Consider the following 18,406-nt stretch of genomic DNA (forward strand, 5'->3'; position numbering starts at 1 on the left):
CGCTGAAACCGATTTGATATTTTTTAGCTTTATGCTTAATTTGTCTTTCTCATATATTTTTGCTGAGAGGATTTAACAATCTCTCTGTGACACAATAAAGAGAGATGCCTTCTAAAATGAATTTTAATGAATATGACAGCAACACTGAAAGGACATAGATATATGTTAAAACATAAGTAATTCTGAAGTAAAGAATTTGAACTCAATACCCACGGTTTGAAGAGAAATCGTGCACTTAACAAATATTAACTCTTGGCTGGCACGGTGGCTCATGACTGTAATGCCAGCACTTTGGGAGGTGGAGGTGGGCAGATCACCTGAGGTCAGGAGTTTGAGACCAGCCTGGCCAACATGGTGAAACCCCGTCTCTACTAAAAATACAAAAAATTAGCCAGGCTTGGTGACGCACACCTGTAGTCCCAGCTACTCAGGGGGCTGAGATAGGAAAATCGCCTGAACCTGGGAGGCGGAGGCTGCAGTGAGCCGAGATCGCGCCACTGCACTCCAGCCTGGGCAACAGAGTGAGACTCTGTCAAAATAAAATAAAATAAAATAAGATAAAATAAAATAAAATAAAATAAAATAAAATAAAATAAAATAAAATAAAAAATAAAATAAAAAAAATATATATGTAACTCTAATCACTAGATTTCACATTTTCAGGGAATGCACTACAAATCTGTAAAATATGCCTTATGCATATTCTAGAATTGACCAAGTAAGTGAATATTCTCTACATAATGGGAGCCAGGATTGTCTTTAACAGATGATTGAAACACAAATATGAAAACATGATGAATCTTGTGAAATTGTTTCATAAGAATCCATGTCCTTTGTTATGTTTTAATTATTTTTATTTATATATTTTAATAACATTGAAATGTTTTTAGACTTAAAATTTGCATAATATAATAAGATTGTTCTCATGTACTCTTCCACTAGCTTCTTCTGTAATGTCAACATCAAGCGTAACTATAGGGTAAGTATCAATACCAAAGCATTAACATAAATGCAATGCTATTAATTAAGTAATTTGAAATCCCCTCTGTATTTCACTGATTTTTTCAGTAATCTCCTTCTTTATGTTCCAGAAAAAAATCCAAAATCCCACACTGCATTTAATTATTGTGTCCTTAATATTTCCCAAATTGTGACAGTTTTTTAGTTTTGTCTTTCATGATTTTGAAACCTTTGAAGTGTACTGGCAAGTTATTTTGGAGAATCCCTTAAGTTGCATTTGTTTGAAGTCTTCTACTGATTAGATTCATATCTTTTATTTTTAGCAAAAAAACAAAAACAAAAAAATGGGGTGCAACCTCAGTGCACAGCAAGAATTACAAAATGTCAACATATCCTATTAATGGTGATCAATTAATATGAACAATAAAACCCTTTTTTAAAAAAAAGTTTTATTATACTTTAAGTTCTGGGATACATGGGCAGAACGTGCAGGTTTGTTACATAGGTGTACACATGCCATGGTGGTTTGCTACACACATCAACTTGTCATCTACATTAGGTATTTCTCCCAATGCTACTGTTCCCCTAGCCCCCCACCCCCCAACAGGCCCTGGGGTATAACATTCTCCTCCCTGTGTCCATTTGTTCTCACTGATCAACTCCCACTTATGAATGAGAACACGCGGTGTTTGGTTCTGCGTTCTTGTGTTAGTTTGCTGAGAATGATGGCTTCCAGCTTCATCCATGTCCCTGCAAAAGACATAAACTCATCCTTTTTTATGGCTGCATAGTATTCCATGGTGTATATGTGCCACATTTTCTTTATCCAGTCTCTCATTGATGGGCATTTGGGTCGGTTCCAAGTCATTGCTATTGTAAACAGTGCCGCAATAAACATATGTGTGCATGCATCTTTATAGTAGAATGATTTATAATCCTTTGGCTATATACCTAGTAATGGGATTGCTGGGTCAAATGGTATTTCCGGTTCTAGATCCTTGAGGAATCGCCACACTGTCTTCCACAATGGTTGGACTAATTTACACTCCCACCAACAGTGTAAAAGCATTCCTATTTCTCCACATCCTCTCCAGCATCTGTCTGAGGCCTCTGTTCTGTTCCATTTGTCTATATATCTGTTTTGGTACCAGTACCATGCTGTTTTGGTTACTGTAGCCTTGTAATATAGTTTGAAGTCAGGTAGCGTGATGCCTCCAGCTTTGTTCTTTCTGTCTAGATTGTCTTGGCTATGTGGGCTCTTTTTTAGTTCCATATGAAATTTAAAGTATTTTTTTCTTATTCTGTGAAGAAAGTCAATGGTAGCTTGATGGGGGTGGCATTGAATCTATAAATTACCTTGTGCAGTATGGCCATTTTCACGATATTGATTCTTCTTATCCATGAGCATGGAATGTTTTTCCATTTGTTTCTGTCCTCTCTTATTTCCTTGAGCAGTGGTTTGTAGTTCTCCTTGAAGAGATCCTTCACATCCCTTGTAAGCTGTATTCCTAAGTTTTTTATTCTCTTTGTAGCAATTGTGAATGGGAGTTCATGCATGATTTGGCTCTCTGTTTGTCTATTATTGATATATAGGAATGCTTGTGATTTTTGCACATTGATCTTGTATCCTGAGACTTTGCTGAAGTTGCTTATCAGCTTAAGGAGATTTGGGGCTGAGACCATGGGGTTTTCTAAGTATACAATCATGTAATCTGCAAAAAGAGACAATTTGAATTCCTCTCTTCCTATTTGAATATGCTTTATTTCCTTCTCTTGCCTGATTGCCCTTCCCAGAACTTCCAATACTATATTGAATAGGAGTGGTGAGAGAGGGCATCCTTGTCTTGCGCCAGTATTTGACAAGAATGTGTCCAGTTTTGCCCATTCAGTATGATCTTGGCCGTGGGTTTGTCATGAATAGCTCTTATTATTTTGAGATACATTCCATCAATACCTAGATTATTGAGAGTTTTTAGCATGAAGAGGTATTGAATTTTATCAAAGACTCTTTCTGCATCTATTGAGATAATCATGTGGTTTTTGTCATTGGTTCTGTTTGTGTGATAGATTACATTTATTGATTTGCATATGTTAAGCCAGCCTTGCATCCCAGGGATGAAGCCACCTTGATCATGGTGGATAAGCTTTTTGATGTGCTGCTGGATTCGGTTTGCCAGTATTTTACAGAGGATTTTCGCATCAATGTTTATCATGAATATTGGCCTGAAATTTTCTTTTTTGTGTGTGTCTTTGCCAGGTTTTGGTATCAGGGTGATGCTGGCCTCATAAAACAAGTTAGGGAGTATTCTTTCTTTCTCTATTGTGTGGAATATTTTCAGAAGGAATGGTACCAGCTTCTTTTTCTACCGGTAGAATTCGGCTGTGAATCCATCTGGCCCTGGACTTTTTTTTGGTTGGTAGGCTATTAATTACTGCCTCAATTTCAGACTTTGTTGTTGGTCTACTCAGGGATTCAAATTTTTCCTGGTTTAGACTTGGGAGGGTGTATATGTCGAGGAATTTATCCATTTATTCTAGATTTTCTAGTTTATTTGTTTAGAGGTGTTTATAGTATTCTCTGATGGTAGTTTGTATTTCTGTGGGATCAGTGGTGATACCTCCTTTATCATTTTTTATGTGTTTATTTCATTCTTCTCTCTTTTCTTCTTTATTAGTCTGGCTAGTGGTTTATCTATTTTGTTGCTCTTTTCAAAAAAACCAGCTCCTGGATTCATTGATTTTTTTTGAAGAGTTTTTCGTGTCTCTATCTCCTTCAGTTCTGCTCTGATCTTAGTTATTTCTTGTCTTCTGCTAGCTTTTGAATTTGTTTGCTCTTGCTTCTCCAGTTATTTTAATTGTGATGTAAGGGTGTCGATTTTAGATGTTTCCTGCTTTCTCCCGTGAGCATTTAGTGCTATAAATTTCCCTTTAAACACTGCTTTTGCTGTGTCCCAAAGATTCTGGTTTCTGAAAGGAGGTCTTGGACAAAGCTAATTAAGCCAGCTGCTTCTATCACTCTTTGTATTTGGTTATTTGCTGACTTTCTGAGAAATAACCTATTCCTGTCTGAAACTATTTTTTTTTATGTTGCTTAGGCTTTAACCCTCTTCACACTTACTGTACAATAGAGAATATTGAACAAATAAATGAGCTGGCTTTTAAATGGCAAATGTTACTATGATGGCCATTTACCATTTAAATGTTAATAGCCTGAAAAAAAACCCAGAGGAATGAGATTTATTAAAATGTAGTGGTATCAACAAATGAACAGCAGTTACTGAATCAACTGTTTGGAAAAACATAATTTTCTAGCACTTGGAATACTGCAAGAATCAAATGGATAGGAACAGCTTGCCCTGAGCTACTTCTGCTGAGGAGACTGAGATACCATTTGTACCATTTTAGTATGCACACAGTTCAGACACTCTTTCTGGAAATACGAGGTTCTGGTCCCTCAGTTAAAGAACATGTGGCTACATATGCATGACAGTTATTTCTAGAAATATGTACTTCTCCAAATTTTTAAGTTATTATCTGAAAATTTAATAGAATTTTGTCTTTGGATGGTAATGAAACAAAAATGTTAGAAGAGAATGGAAACTTTTGGGTATATATAGAGAGGATATCAGAGAAGGGCCAACCATACTTTACTGGATACAGTTAATCTGACTGGGGCTTTTGGAGGAAAAGACTTAGAGAAGAAAAGTGTTTGAAGAAGTCATACGTGTTTAAAAATATAGGCACAACTTGAAAACCCTTGCAAGAAAGAATAGATGACTTCACAAAAAGGTGAAGTGACTTTTCAATTTGTCAAATCACACTCGTACATATGCTTTTTCTTTCTCTTTTATGCCCTATACCTCTGAGGTATTAGAAAGGCCTGAGTTTGAAATAATTTGTCCCGTAGAAATCCAGAAAGTAAGAGAATGAACAACATCTTTAGCACAGAAGCATGCCAATCCTGGGAAAAAACTGAGATTTGGTTTTTGAGTTATGGCAGATGTAGTAGAAAAAATGAGAAAAGGTTAAAAAGACAGAATAAAGATTATGTAAGAAAGGACAGCAATATGACATTCTAACCTTTCATAGGATAAAGTTATGATAATGAATGATGAGAAGAAATGCAATGGACCCATCTGGGTGGGCATGATTGAAGGTCTGAGCAAGTTAGTATAGATCAAGAACAAATCATTAGCATTTTAAGAATTGTGAGTCAGTTAGTGAAAATCCCATCTCAGAAACTAATGTGGCTATAGATGAAACATCCTTGGATTAGAATTAAGATTGTTTCTCCTAACTCTCTTCTAAATTAGTCTAGTGATGATAATAATGATCATTACAGTGCTAAATGTTATCATAATAGTAACAACAAAATTAATACCAGCACATATAATGATTAGATACTATTGTAAATGCTTTACCTTGTATAAATTGTAAAGAGACCTTTTAGGTAGATTCTATTATTGCCAAAGTTTCACATAAGCAAATTTACTAATGGCACATAATCTATAAGGATTAAAGCTCTGTCTCCAACACAATGGATTTGATTTCAGGGCTTGCCAAGATAACGTCTTGACAGTTAGATAAATATTGTTGACTCTATTTCCAGAATGAATGAAGATCCAATTGAAACTTAGAGCAGCATTAATAAAACTGCTTCCTTGATACCTAAGAGAAAGGAAGAAAAAGCAAACGATTTTAACTGATTAAAGGAAAGGAGCAGCAGTATATGAAATGAGATTCAGGGGGTGTAAGCAGAGGTTCTGGGAACTATTAAGGAGAAGAGAACCTGACTCTGGATTGATATAAGCATTGCACAGAATCAAGCGGTGTGTAGATTAGAGGATCACCCAAGGAGTTGTCCCCTGCCTATATGGACAGCATCATTGTCTGTTACCTGCATGGACAGCATGATTGTCTGTCTTCAGGGAAATGGCATTGGTAACCTGAAGGGTCAGAGCCTGGGTGCTTCTCATCTGTGCAGTTGTGGTCACCCCTGCACCTGCAGCACTGTGGGTACTTGAGTGTTGCTCTTTGAGGAAGCTTCAGGGCCCTCAGAAAAGATCCCTAAGCAGCAAGTGAAAGGTGTACTTGGGAGATAAAGTTCCAATAACTCTTCATTCCAACCATATTCTGTCATGCACCAGGGAAAACAACTAGGCATATTTAGGGTAGAAACAAAAGAAATGGGACCACACAACTTAATTTAGTTCCTACAAGTCTTGTACCACACACCATTCACTGAATCTAGATAATTGGTGAGACAGGAAGACACAGGGATATAAGACAGGAAGACACATGATATATGTGATCTAAGATAGAAATTCTACACTCAGGCTAAGCTAACAGCCTTTTCTGACATGACCACCTGGGTGAAAGCTGACCAATATAATATTCACACATCCAGTCATATAGATAGATGCATGTTATCAAATCTGATAGCATAAATATAAATATTTAGTCATCTATTTATAAAGACACTTAGAGGAAATTAAAGCTAAATGATATGAATTAAGTGAAATTCACCTCACTTATGGAAAAAGTGCACTTACGGAAACATGCACTTATCCACTGCTCAAAACTCAGCGGATAATAAAACTAAGCAGATATTTTCTTGTTAATAGATGTTTATGATAACAATGATGTGGCTGATCAAGGAAGAGCTTAGTGGAGTGGTTCTTCTGCCTCTAGATTGTGTTTCATTTGGGATCAAGGAAGGGCCTAGCCAAGACACAACATTTGTATGGAAGGCAGCAAAAAGGAACACAATTTTCAAACAAAACTGACCAGGCAAATGGTATCCTAATGTTCTCTAAAACAGTGAACACAATTTAATTTATTCTTTTACTTTGTTAAGTCCTAAAGTTTCTAAAAACGTTTACTGCATTTAACTATCAAAGTATTTGATCCATTGATAAAAAATAATTGTTTTTCAACTTTTAGAATATTAAAAATATTTTTGAATGTAATTTTGCATTAATTAGAAATAAAGCAGCATATATTTTTAAGTGGTTTTAACATAAATGTTCTCACTGTGGGGGAAAAAAAAATCTTTAGCTAAAGTAAATGTCTTCTAAAACTTGGCTTCTTGAAACACCCGTACGTTACCTCTTAACTAGTTGAAGTGCAGGTTATCATGCAACAAGGTCTAAAGCACATCTGCTACTTTGCATTTGTACTGTGTTCATAGTGACGCTGAGAATGCCACTGGAATCTGGACAAATTTTAAGTAGCAAAGTGCTCTTATATTAAGGAAAAAGTATGCTACGTGCACCTATAGGTGTTCTTGTTTGTTTTGTCAATTTTTTTTTCATTTGTCAAAGGATTGCTATGTATTTCAAGCAATGTTGTCATTTTTTTCTTTTACTTTACGACTTAATAAAATTTTCTTGCAATAATACCAAACTTTCTAATAATACATGTAAGAACATCCAAATGTATTCTGAAGCCACCCCATACCTGGAAAATTCTGAGATTTTGGGAAATACTTATCTCACTTGGCTGTAATTCCTCATATTCACCATGATTTCTAAAAGCACCTTTCCTGAAACACATTAAACCCTCTATGGTTTCTTGTAGAGTTACTCAAAGAGAAGACCTCTCATCATATTTGAAGGTAAGAAGAAGGCGATTCAATATTCTTTGACACCGGTAGGCAAACATGTTCACTGAGATAAGGACTGGAGAATCACCTGGTGAGGTGCTGCAACAACTGATAGCATCAGCATCTTCGCATACGGACTTCCTAGACAAAGAAGACTATATGGTTAGATAGCCCATGCCTTTAGCGGCTGATGAACTCTGGCTTCTGGCAGACCTCCAGAGACTCCCGTGTTTCTAGTGTCAGCTTCCCTAACTACCACACTCCCAGTTTTGTATATTCAACTCTAATTCCCTGTATTAAAACAATGCCTTCTGGCAATCTGTAGAGTGGTTTCTCTTTTAATCTATGACCCAGATGGATGCAATAACACAGATTCTTCAGGTATCGTAAATGCTATCCCTTATTAAATCAGGAGAGATAGTGTCATGTCTGTGCTGCTGGGGCTAAGCAGGAAGAAAAAGAGTTAGAATGCAGATGAGACTTCTGGCCATTCCTACAAAAACCTTTAAATCTTGGCTGCACCTGAGAAACACTCTCAGCAGATGGAGGCACCAGTGGAAGCACCTGGGGCAGCCATGAGTCATACTTCTGCTTCCCTGGGGGTTTATTTTATGACCTGTAACACTCTAGGATGGCTGCTGTAAGTCTATAGACAGCAATAAGTTATAACATCTTCAGGTTGCAGGCTCCTGATGGTGAGAATGTGTGAAATGTGTCCCAGACCTACTGCCACTGAACCGTGACGGGACCCCAGATTGCAAACTGGATGCAGCATAGATCAGGAGCTTAGGAGGATTCTCTAGTTTCTACTGATACTAGCTTAAATAATTGCAAATGCCCTGACTCGCCCAGCAAGTGATGGTGACTCTCTCTCCTACAGATGCAGTCAGGGAGGATGGAGACTGAGTCATCTGGAAATTACATCTGACTCCTGGGACATAAAAACAAATAATCCACACAACTATTTATAAGATGATTTCCCTGAAAGGCCAGGCTGTACTGAGCACATTGGCTGAGTAAATTCCTAGTGTTCTCCATCCGTACCTGGGAGCCAGAGCAGCAGGAGCCCCTGGAGCTGAGTGGGGACCCTCATGTCCATGCTGTGTCCTGACTGAGACTGACTCCTGCACAGGGTGTGACCAGCCTATTAAGAAGTCTTCAGAACAGGGGGTTGTGCTCTGGGAACATGCAAATCAGCAGGGAATGGAGCAGGCTGGGCACAGCTGCAGGACTGGTTCATGGATAAGTATCTTAGATCCAGATAAAACTTAATAAATATTCATACTCTTATTTTTCACATTTTCAGCTTGGCCCAGGGCATCCCAGCCTAGCTCAGTAGCAAGAATGTGAATCGTTTTTCTTTTTACTCCCATAAGAACAGTAACATAAAACCCTGTGAATGCTCCAGTCCTGGAGGAGAATGTGTGCCAAGAACAAGTGTAAAGTACAACTGGGGAAAGGGAGATAAGCAATGTGTTAACACCACCAAATATTCTCCCATTAAATATATACTAGTAACTGCTAAGCCAAACAATACCAAGAATATACCAGTGCTATGTTGTCATGTATCAGCCTCAGTTGTGTGACTGGTAGGCTGAATACATCTGGTTGACAAATGTATGCAAAGGAGAGAGGATTGAGATGAGCTAAGTCACCTTTCCCTTCCTCCTTCCTCCTGTCTCCTGGCTCAGAGGGCACTTGCATCTTCTGTAGGTTCTGCCCATGCTAAGGCTGCGACTGCTGAAGTGATCTTATGTGTGATGCCTGAGGTGTAGCTTCATACTAATCCCCTGAGTTCACCAACATCTTCCTGTTACATAGATTTAGAGAATATACCCTGTCTACTCCTCAGTGAAGGAACTAATTTGGGCAGCTGGGACAATCCAAGCAGGAGGCTTTTGTTTGGTGCTGAACCATTGTGGGAGGATATTGTAGAGTGTGGTGGCAGTTGTAATAGCCAAGATCCTCAGCCTCCACCCTACTGATCTTAAGCATAAAATCTGTCCCTGACCTGCAACCACTGCAAACTCACAGTTATGTGGTGCGTCACACAGGGCCGTAAGTCTTCAGTGACTCAATTGTTAGTGAAGTTCTTGTCCAAATGTATTTCAGGTCGTATCACAAATGCCTATTTAACCATAGGATATAGACCAGCTTCCAAAGGTTGAAACTAGTCCTGTGATATATCTGGGGATGACTGGTCTACTCTCTCCTCCCACTGGGGAGAACCTGTGTGGGAAGGCAGAAAACTGATTGGAAGTCCTACAGATCAGGAGCTGTGGAGAGTGGCCTGGCTTCTGCAGGAACTAATACAAATAGGTGTATCCATTACCATGTAAAAGGTTCTGACTAGACCTGCAGGAGATGGAGGCCGGCTCTCCATTGGTGACGGGCAGAGAGAGTGGAGTCTGGGTCATCACAATATTCCCACCGGATCCTAAAGTAATATAAAAAAGAAGTACAATGTTATGTAAATCATGAGACATTATCATAATTTCTCTACAATTATTTAATGCTAAATAATTGTATTGCGGCGCGTGTGTGTGTGTGTGTGTGTGTGTGAGTGTGTGTGTAATTTTGATTCATGCACCAAAAAAATTTAATTAAAAAAAAAACAGACATTTTGAAGGCCCAAGTTGCCCTTTGGAAGTCACTTATGCTACCCTCCTCTTTCTATGTCAGAATCTGCACCAGAGCACAGGTCTTTGCTTTTTCTGGAATCTTCCTCACTCTTTCACATATAAAAGTGCCACCATACATTTTATCCTGGAGCACAAGACACGTGCATCCAACACGTGGACAGAACACACATGGGTGACAGTGGGGCCCCCAGAGCTCACCCTCCCACCCCATTCTCCTCCCTCATCTCCTCTGTCCTTACCAGGAACCCAAAGCATTAGCAGCCCCAGGAGCTGAGCAGGGAACCTCACTGTGAGAAGGTGAACTGAGGAGTCCTGATCAGTTAAGGCAAGGTTACAGCTGAGCTTTACTCCCAGACTCACAAGGGAAGGTCATTCCTAAGGGACAATATGCACATCCCCTGGTGGTTGCAGTGGTGTGGAAAGAGCCAATGTACAGTATGCTTAATTCTAAAATGTATCTTTGTCTTCAGTATTTTAACATGCCGCATCATGGCCTGAAACAAGCAAACAAAATAAACCAGTAGACAAAACTAGTTACTACCTACTACACATATATACTAAGTGTTTCTAAGAGTTCAAAAAATATTCTCAATTACTTCCAGAATTGAAAGGAAGAAAAGTCCAAATAGTATTATCAGAAAATATTATTATGTGGTGTACATGTTTGAGACTCCTGTGAGCTTTGATTTGCTCAACAGCCAACATCATGCATTGCAGGCAGCTTTCCATTCTCCTGATGGTTGGTGAGAGTGAGAGTCACTCAGCAAAGGGAGAAAGAGGTGCCCTGAAAGTCATCAGTGGCAGCAGGTGAGGTCAGGATACACTAGGGTCGCCTCCCAGTGATGTGACTAAGTGTCCCTGCATTCATGACAGCAGTAGGGAACTTTAGTGGCTGTTGCAGGGAGGACATGACAACCACTTCCTGGAGAATCTGTGGGGTGTCAGTGCACTAATTGGAGAGAAAGCGAGAGGCTCTAGGAATTGTCCTGGAGGGCTCTAGCCCCTGTTTACACAGAAGAGGAGCCAGTGTTTGTGACTGAAACCTCATGGCCTCTTCCTGGAAGGCTCTCCAGCCATCTCTAACTGAGCCCACCTGGTATGGACGTGTGGCCTGGGTACCCCAGCTGCTCCTGCTGCATTGAGAGGCTGAGCCTCCTTGAGGTTTGTATGTGGGGCCATCACACAACGCAGCGTCCCAGTGAGTGTCTTGCTAACAGTCGTATGTGCAGTATCTCCAGGCCCCACAGAAGTGATTGTGAGTATGTAATGATTAAAATTTTGACTGCATGTGTGTCTCCACTTTTGAATATGTGCAGAAAAATACTTTGAAGGATTGTCATTCTTTGCCTATGTTACAAACGTCTTGCCATAATCCATTTTTTTCTGGATTTCTCTCCTCAAAAATTGAATTTTAACTTCCCTCACCACAGAATGCATTATCTTGGAATACACAGTCATTTCTAATATGGTTTACTTCCTTAACAAGGAAAAGAGTATGTTGTCCTGCTGATTCAAATGCCCCTTTACTTTGATCATATCATGTCATGATTAGTTTAGAAATACATTTAGGGCATTATTTTAAGTGTCATCTTTGCAAGCTATATATTTTCTATACAATTACTACTAGAAGGTAGGAATGAGGTTCATTTTCATGTAATGACTACATTGTGTGAAAATGATGCATGTACTTATATATTGAAAACCATTTATTCTTTTCATGACAATTGAATACCAAAATTGTCATTTCTAAAACATTATTTAGTTGAAAAAGTTATCTCCACTCCCAGGTACAATAACATTGTGGTTAAAAGCCCTAAAGCAACTGCTGCCAAAGGTACAAAAAATACAAAATTTATGAAATTATAACATCAGAGAACAGTGGACAGAATAAGGCCTAGGTAATCTAAAATTCCAGGGTGAGGAAATCCTCTCTAATTGAGCTGATGCTTACCTGACTTTTTGTTCCCCTGCCATATTTGCCAGGTTGGCATTTGGACCCAAGTTCTGCTTTGGCACGGGCAGAGAAACTCATCTGTGAAAGGAGAATCTGGCTGTGCCTCTTTGGTTGCACAATGCAGCCTCAACTCACAGATAGTGTTCTCCATGGAACATTGGCTGTGGTTTGATGACATGTGCAGTCTTTGGGTGCTGGTCTAGAAAGACAGAAACTCCCCATACAGAGGATTCATGGAGTTTTTGTTGTTGATAAATTCTGCGCAGACCATTCATAATACATGTCTGAATCATGGATATATTGGTCATCATTGCCACTGCTCCCCAGTTGATGTAGACTCTATTGGGACTTCAGGTTAGCATGCCACTGCATGATTTGTGTTCTCAAACCCAACCATATGGCATCTGCTGGGTTATTTTAGTTTGACTGTGACTGAGTCACAGAACCTCAGGTCTATTTGCACAGGAACTTCAATAAACATTTGATGATTGCAGAACTAAAAGATCATTCTTGATGAACTACTTTTCCTTGAAACTTGCAGTGGTGCAGGCTCAACCCATGGAGCCAGGGAGTGATACTTTCTCCTCTGTGATTCTTCATAAGAAAGACATTTGGGCTCCTTTCTGAGTTTATATCACCAACCCCCAACAGTCACTGTCATCCACAACTGTACCTAATGTAAGTCAAAGAGCAGGTTATTGGGCCATAGTTGACCTCCACTATCTTCCATTAATTCTCCCATTCTTGAAGTCTGCCCACTGTCTTCAAACTCTTACATTTTGGGGAAAGAAATCGCATATCATTCTGTGTTATTTCAGTGTTCTATGAGGTAAATTCTATAACCTATGTCTTATAGTTTAAGTTTCTGTTTATGAAACTCAACTTCTGAAATTTCAAAAACTATCCTTTTCTGTCAGCAAGACACAATTGAAGTGAATAAAATAATTTTAGCATTCATATTTTCTATCTCTCACCAATTTACAAAAGTCCATTCTGAGGCTGAAATCCAAGATTTTCACTAATTGCCCTCATCCAGCTCCTCATGATGACAGCTTGTGCGGAAGGCTCTTTCCACCATCAATATGTGGTGGGAAGATAGGTGGTGAAAGAGAAAAATAAGAAGTTAGGAAAGTTGAAAAGTTCAATTTTTGGATATTACCACATATTATCCTCTTAAATGTAGACTTTAAACTTCTAAACCTCAAGATATATTCAAGAAGTGTTGCAACAAATCTGGGTTACTTGTCTGGTTATTTACCTCTTTAAGTCTTATTTCCCAATGCAGGCAAGGCAGGGAGGATTGGAATAGGATTTTCTTAAGCTCTCCCTCAGGGCAGTCTATTACCTGTGCAGGCACTGGGATCACCTCTGGTTTCCTATGGCTTATGCCATGCCAAGGCTGTTGCAGCTGACAGGGCTGTGAACGGGTTTTGCCTGACGTACAACTGAGGCACCCATGGGACAGAACCCTCAGATGCAACCTGTTGCCCTGAGTTCTCCAACATGTTTATCTCATACAGATAGAGATTCTGTTCAACTGCTCCCCAGAGAAACAACACACTTGAGCAGCTGGGCCACTCCAGCGGGAGGTTTTTGTTCAGAGCTGTACCACTGTGTGAGGAAATTGTGTAGCTTGCATGCAGTAATAAACCCCGACATCCTCAGCTTCCACCCTGCTGATTTTCAGTGTGAAATCTGTCCCTGCCCCACTGCCACTGAATCTGTCTGGGACCCCAGAGAACCGGTTAGAAATCTTATAAATTAGGAGTCTTGGAGGCTGGCCTGGCCTCTGCTGAAGCCAACTCAAGTAGGTGTTTCCATCACTGTGTACGAGGCTTTGACTAGACCTGCAGGAGATGGAGGCCGGCTGTCCAAGGGTGACAGGTGAGGAGAGTGGAGTCTGGGTCATCACAATATCCCCACTGGATCCTGAAATAATGAGAGAGAAGTGCAAGGTTATGTAGAAACTTTAAGCACAATTTTAAAATAATTTTTCTTCTGTTATTTATTTCAGGCTAAATCAATTTTTATAATTTGATTCAGACCCTAGTAATATATAATTTCAAAATAAAAACATATTTTCAAAGCACAGCAGAGTGCTTTGAGTGCTAGAAGTTTCCTCTACCATTCCCTCTTTCTCTGTTAGAGTCTTCACCGGAGCACTGGTCTTTGTTCCTTCTGGAATCTTCCTCATTCTTACAGATCTAAACCTCACATGCCTTACTCACGCAGATATAAAAGTTACAAGCCCCATCCTGGAGTACAAGACGTACACATCTAACATGAGGACAGAACACACATGGGAGGCAATGGGGCCCCCAGAGTTCACCCTCCCACCCCATTCTCCTCCCTCATCTCTCTTCTGTCCTCACCAGGGACCCAGAGCATTAGCAGCCCCAGAAGCTGAGCAAGGAGCCTCATTGTGAGAAGGTGACCTGAGGAGTCCTAATTAGTTAAGTCAAGGTTGGTGCTGAGCTTTTATCTCAGACTTGCAAGGGAAGGTCCTCCCTGGGGGACAATATGCAAATCCCCTGGTGGGTGCAGTGGTGTAGAAATAACATGATATGTGCAGGGGTATGGGGGCCTTTCCTATGAACAACATATTTTGTATGCTTGAGAAAAAACTGGCAGAAATAACAATCTATGCAGCCTGATTGGGACAGGATATATTTCTATGTTTACTGTGTTTACTGTCAATTTTTTTACTTCCTAGTATTTTCCCAGTGCTTATTACACTTCTCTTTAATACGGCTGAGTTTCTGTAAATATTTGGTGCTTCTTATTTTTTTCTTCATGTGTGTTGAAAGGGTCTTGGTTTGCTGTTAATTTTATAAATCAAAATAAATTGTGCCCTGAGTAAAGTGCAAACATGTTCGCTGCTCAGCCAAATAAAGTACTCACATTCACTACCCAGATACAAATATGAATGATTTGAAATTCTCCACATGCTGCCTTCATTCACCTTTCTAGTCAATAGCTTCTGCCTCTAACCTACCAAGGGAACTGCAACTCTGATATCTATCACAAAGATTCAGTTTTCGTGAACATCAACAACATATGAATTGAGGTAAGTATATTTATGAAGCTTTCATTTAATTTCATGGATTTAAATTACTGTTCATTGTCGTTTACTGTGATTCTGAATTCTGAAGGATTTCTTCTTGAGTTTCTTATAGGAGATATATGCTAGTCACGGCTTCTTTTCTTTTCTTTAAGGATAGTTTTGCTGAATATAAAATCATTTTAAACTGATTTTTCTAGTACTTCAAATAGCTTTAACATTAATGGTTAATCCACTATTATTAATGAAGTTACAATCTACATTTGAATTTCACTGAGCTTTCCACTGATACATGTATTTACCATTTTTACTTTTAATGTTTTAGGATAAAATTTCTGGATCCCATATTGCATTCAGTTTTCATGCTTTCTTAATTTCCTTCAATCTCTGACAGTTTTTTAGTCTTTGTTTTGAAATACCTTGAAACTTTTGATGTATGCTGGCTGGTTATTTTTCAGAATGTCCCTTAAGTTCTATTGTTTGGTATTTTCTATTGATTAAAGTCAGATTTTTCATTTTTGGCAAGAATATTACAGCAGGGATGTGTCTTCAGTACATCCTATCAAGAGTTACACAGTATCAACATGTCATCACTGGTGTTGATAAATGAATATTGCTAAGGAACCCTTTTTGTAAGAAAGTCTTGGTCAAAGGTAACCAAGGCAGCTGCTTTTGTCACTCTTCCTATATGGTTATGTGCTGACTTTGTTAGGAGTTGTCTAGTCCCATCTGCTATGGTTTAGATGTTTGTGATGTTCCAAACTTAATGTTGGAATTTAAAGCCTAAGTTGATATTAAAAGGTAGAGCCCCTTGGGAAGTGATTAAGTCATGGGCTCTGCCCTCAATAAATGGGATTAATGGCCTTATATAGAAGATTTCAGAGAGCTGCCTGGCCCTTCCATCTCTGTTGCCATGTGCAGACGCAAGATTCAATTTGTCTCCTTTGCCTTTTCTGGCTCCACCAGACAGCTTCACCGACACTGAATCTGTTAGCATCTTGATCCTAGAGTTCTGAACTCCAGAACTGTGAGAAATAAATATTTATTGTTTATAAATTTCCCAGTCTGTGAGTTTGTTATAGTTGCATGAAAGAACTCAGACACTATCTGATTCTCTTTCTACTTATTTATTTTTTTCAGAATTCAGTTCTACTTAAAGCCTGCTCTCCAATAGAGAATACTGATTAAATAAATTATGCTCACTCTTAAATGTCAAATATTTCCATCATGGCCATTCAACACTGGAATGTTGATGATGTGAAGGAAGGAAGAGAGGACTGGTGTCTATTAAAACATAGTGGTACCCACCAGTGGATGGATGTTCCTGAGTAATTTGGACAAATATATAGTCCTACACATCACTTAGAATATTTCAGAAACTAAATGGAAAAGTTTAGAATTGATTGAGCTACTTCTAAAGTGGGAGGTTGAGATGCTATTGGTGCCATACTAGGATGCACACAGTTGAGACATGATTTCCAAGAATCTGAAATCCTAGGGACTAAGTTGAAGAATATGTGGCTATATCAACATGGTACTTATTTCTCAAAATAGATATTTTTCTAAGTTTTTAATTCCTGCTGTGACTAATCAATGGGATTTTGTCTTTTGATTGTTGTGAAAGTAGATAACTTGTTTTGATTTCAGAGACTTATCAGTGGAAGGATATGAGTATCAGATGTGGCTTTGGACTTGGACTTGGGACTTTTGTGTTAAAATTAGAATAAGGTAAGACTTTGGGCAGATATTGAAAAGGAATTATTGTATTTTCAAATGTGAAAAGGACATGAGATTTGAGAGAGTCCAGGGGTAAAAGGATGTTGTCTGCATATTTGTTACTGCTCAAATATCATGTGGAATTGTAATCCCCAGTATTGCAAGTCAGGCCTGATGGGAGGTGACTGGATCATGGAGATAGATTTCTCATGAACAGTTTAGCACCATCTTCTTGGTGCTGTTCTCATGATAGCGAGTTCTCATGAGATCTGCTTATTTAAAAGCATATGGCAACTCCTTCTCTCTCTTCTGCTCTTTCTCTGGCCTTGTGATGGGCCTACTACCCCTTAGCCTTCCATCATAACTGTAAGCTTCCTGAGGCCTTCCCAGAAGCTGAGCAGATGCCAGCATCATGCTTCCTCCAAAGCCTGCAGAAATGTGAGCTGAGTAAAACTCTTTTCTTTATAAATCACCCAGTCTCAGTATTTCTTTGTAGCATTGCAAGAATGGCCTAATAGATTTGGTCTCTTTTTTTTTTTTTTCTTTTTTTGAGATGGAGTTTCGCTCTGTCACCAGGCTGGAGTGCAGTGGTGCAATCTTGGCTCACTGCAACCTCTGCCTCCTGGGTTCAAGTGATTCTCCTGCCTCAGCCTCCTGAGTAGCTGGAACTACAGGCATGTGCCACCATATCCAGCTAATTTTTCTATTTTTAGTAGAGACGGGGTTTCACCATGTTGGCCAGGATGGTCTCAATCTCTTGACCTCATGATCCACCCGCCTCTGCCTCCCAAAGTACTGAGATTGCAGACATGAGCCACTGAGCCCAATCTCTCCTTTTTTTTTTTTTTTTTAATGAGGACACTAATTGAATCAGATCAGAATCTCAACCTTATGGCCTCATTTGACTGTTAGTTTCTTAGCGATACCTCCAAATATACGCGCACATGGAGTTAGGGCTTCAACTGGTGAATTTTGAGGGGACACAAATATTCAGTTCATAAAAGCTTACCTTATTTTCTTGATTCATCAAATACTTGCTCTCTTGGCATATTTTGTGGTCACCTACGGAGGTGAGATGGATCTTTTCTAATTAGTAGATATTATGGTGAAGCTGTTGACACTCCATGTACAAGAGAATTTGGGAGAAATTTTCTAACTCACACAAGGGAATCTTGGGGAAAGCAGGATATGCACAAGCTGGTATAAGCTGGCTCGAGTTACACAGAGGGCTGAGTTTTTATAGTTGGACTGGAGATATGCTATCTTGCATTGCTGAGGATCTATGAGGTTTGACTGTCCTGCAGGCAGTTGCACAAATATGTGGTGGAAGGGAAAGTGGGAGGTGGTGATTGAAAGCTGTCACTGATCAAACATCAAAAATGGAGTCAGATGCTTATTACATAGCACTTATTCGAAGGTACATGGTACCTTAGAGTATCAGCTTTTTATATTTTGTCCAGCTTTTTATA

General features: G+C 39.2%; 2 pseudogenes, 1 gene segment (V, D, J or C) and 1 further gene, besides 6 other annotated features; 1 reads left to right on the plus strand and 3 right to left on the minus strand.

Annotated features, from left to right (window-relative positions):
• The window catches only part of IGK (immunoglobulin kappa locus), a 1,378,008-nt gene that overhangs the window by 305,189 nt on the left and 1,054,413 nt on the right, over nucleotides 1-18,406 (plus strand).
• On the minus strand, nucleotides 8,196-8,663 carry IGKV1-22 (immunoglobulin kappa variable 1-22 (pseudogene); annotated as a pseudogene). Its single transcript is given in 2 exon segments — nucleotides 8,196-8,495; nucleotides 8,609-8,663. Coding segments are annotated over 2 exon segments (355 nt in total).
• Nucleotides 8,485-8,495: a sequence feature (IGKV1-22 leader sequence).
• Nucleotides 8,609-8,663: a sequence feature (IGKV1-22 leader sequence).
• On the minus strand, nucleotides 9,779-10,494 carry IGKV2-23 (immunoglobulin kappa variable 2-23 (pseudogene); annotated as a pseudogene). The gene is given in 2 exon segments: nucleotides 9,779-10,001; nucleotides 10,446-10,494. Coding segments are annotated over 2 exon segments (272 nt in total).
• Nucleotides 9,991-10,001: a sequence feature (IGKV2-23 leader sequence).
• Nucleotides 10,446-10,494: a sequence feature (IGKV2-23 leader sequence).
• Nucleotides 13,779-14,581, minus strand: IGKV2-24 (immunoglobulin kappa variable 2-24). The segment is given in 2 exon segments: nucleotides 13,779-14,089; nucleotides 14,533-14,581. Coding segments are annotated over 2 exon segments (360 nt in total), but the record flags the coding sequence as incomplete, so codon positions are not given.
• Nucleotides 14,079-14,089: a sequence feature (IGKV2-24 leader sequence).
• Nucleotides 14,533-14,581: a sequence feature (IGKV2-24 leader sequence).

This window comes from Homo sapiens, chromosome 2 (assembly GCF_000001405.40).
Source record: "Homo sapiens chromosome 2, GRCh38.p14 Primary Assembly".
NCBI lineage: Eukaryota > Metazoa > Chordata > Mammalia > Primates > Hominidae > Homo > Homo sapiens.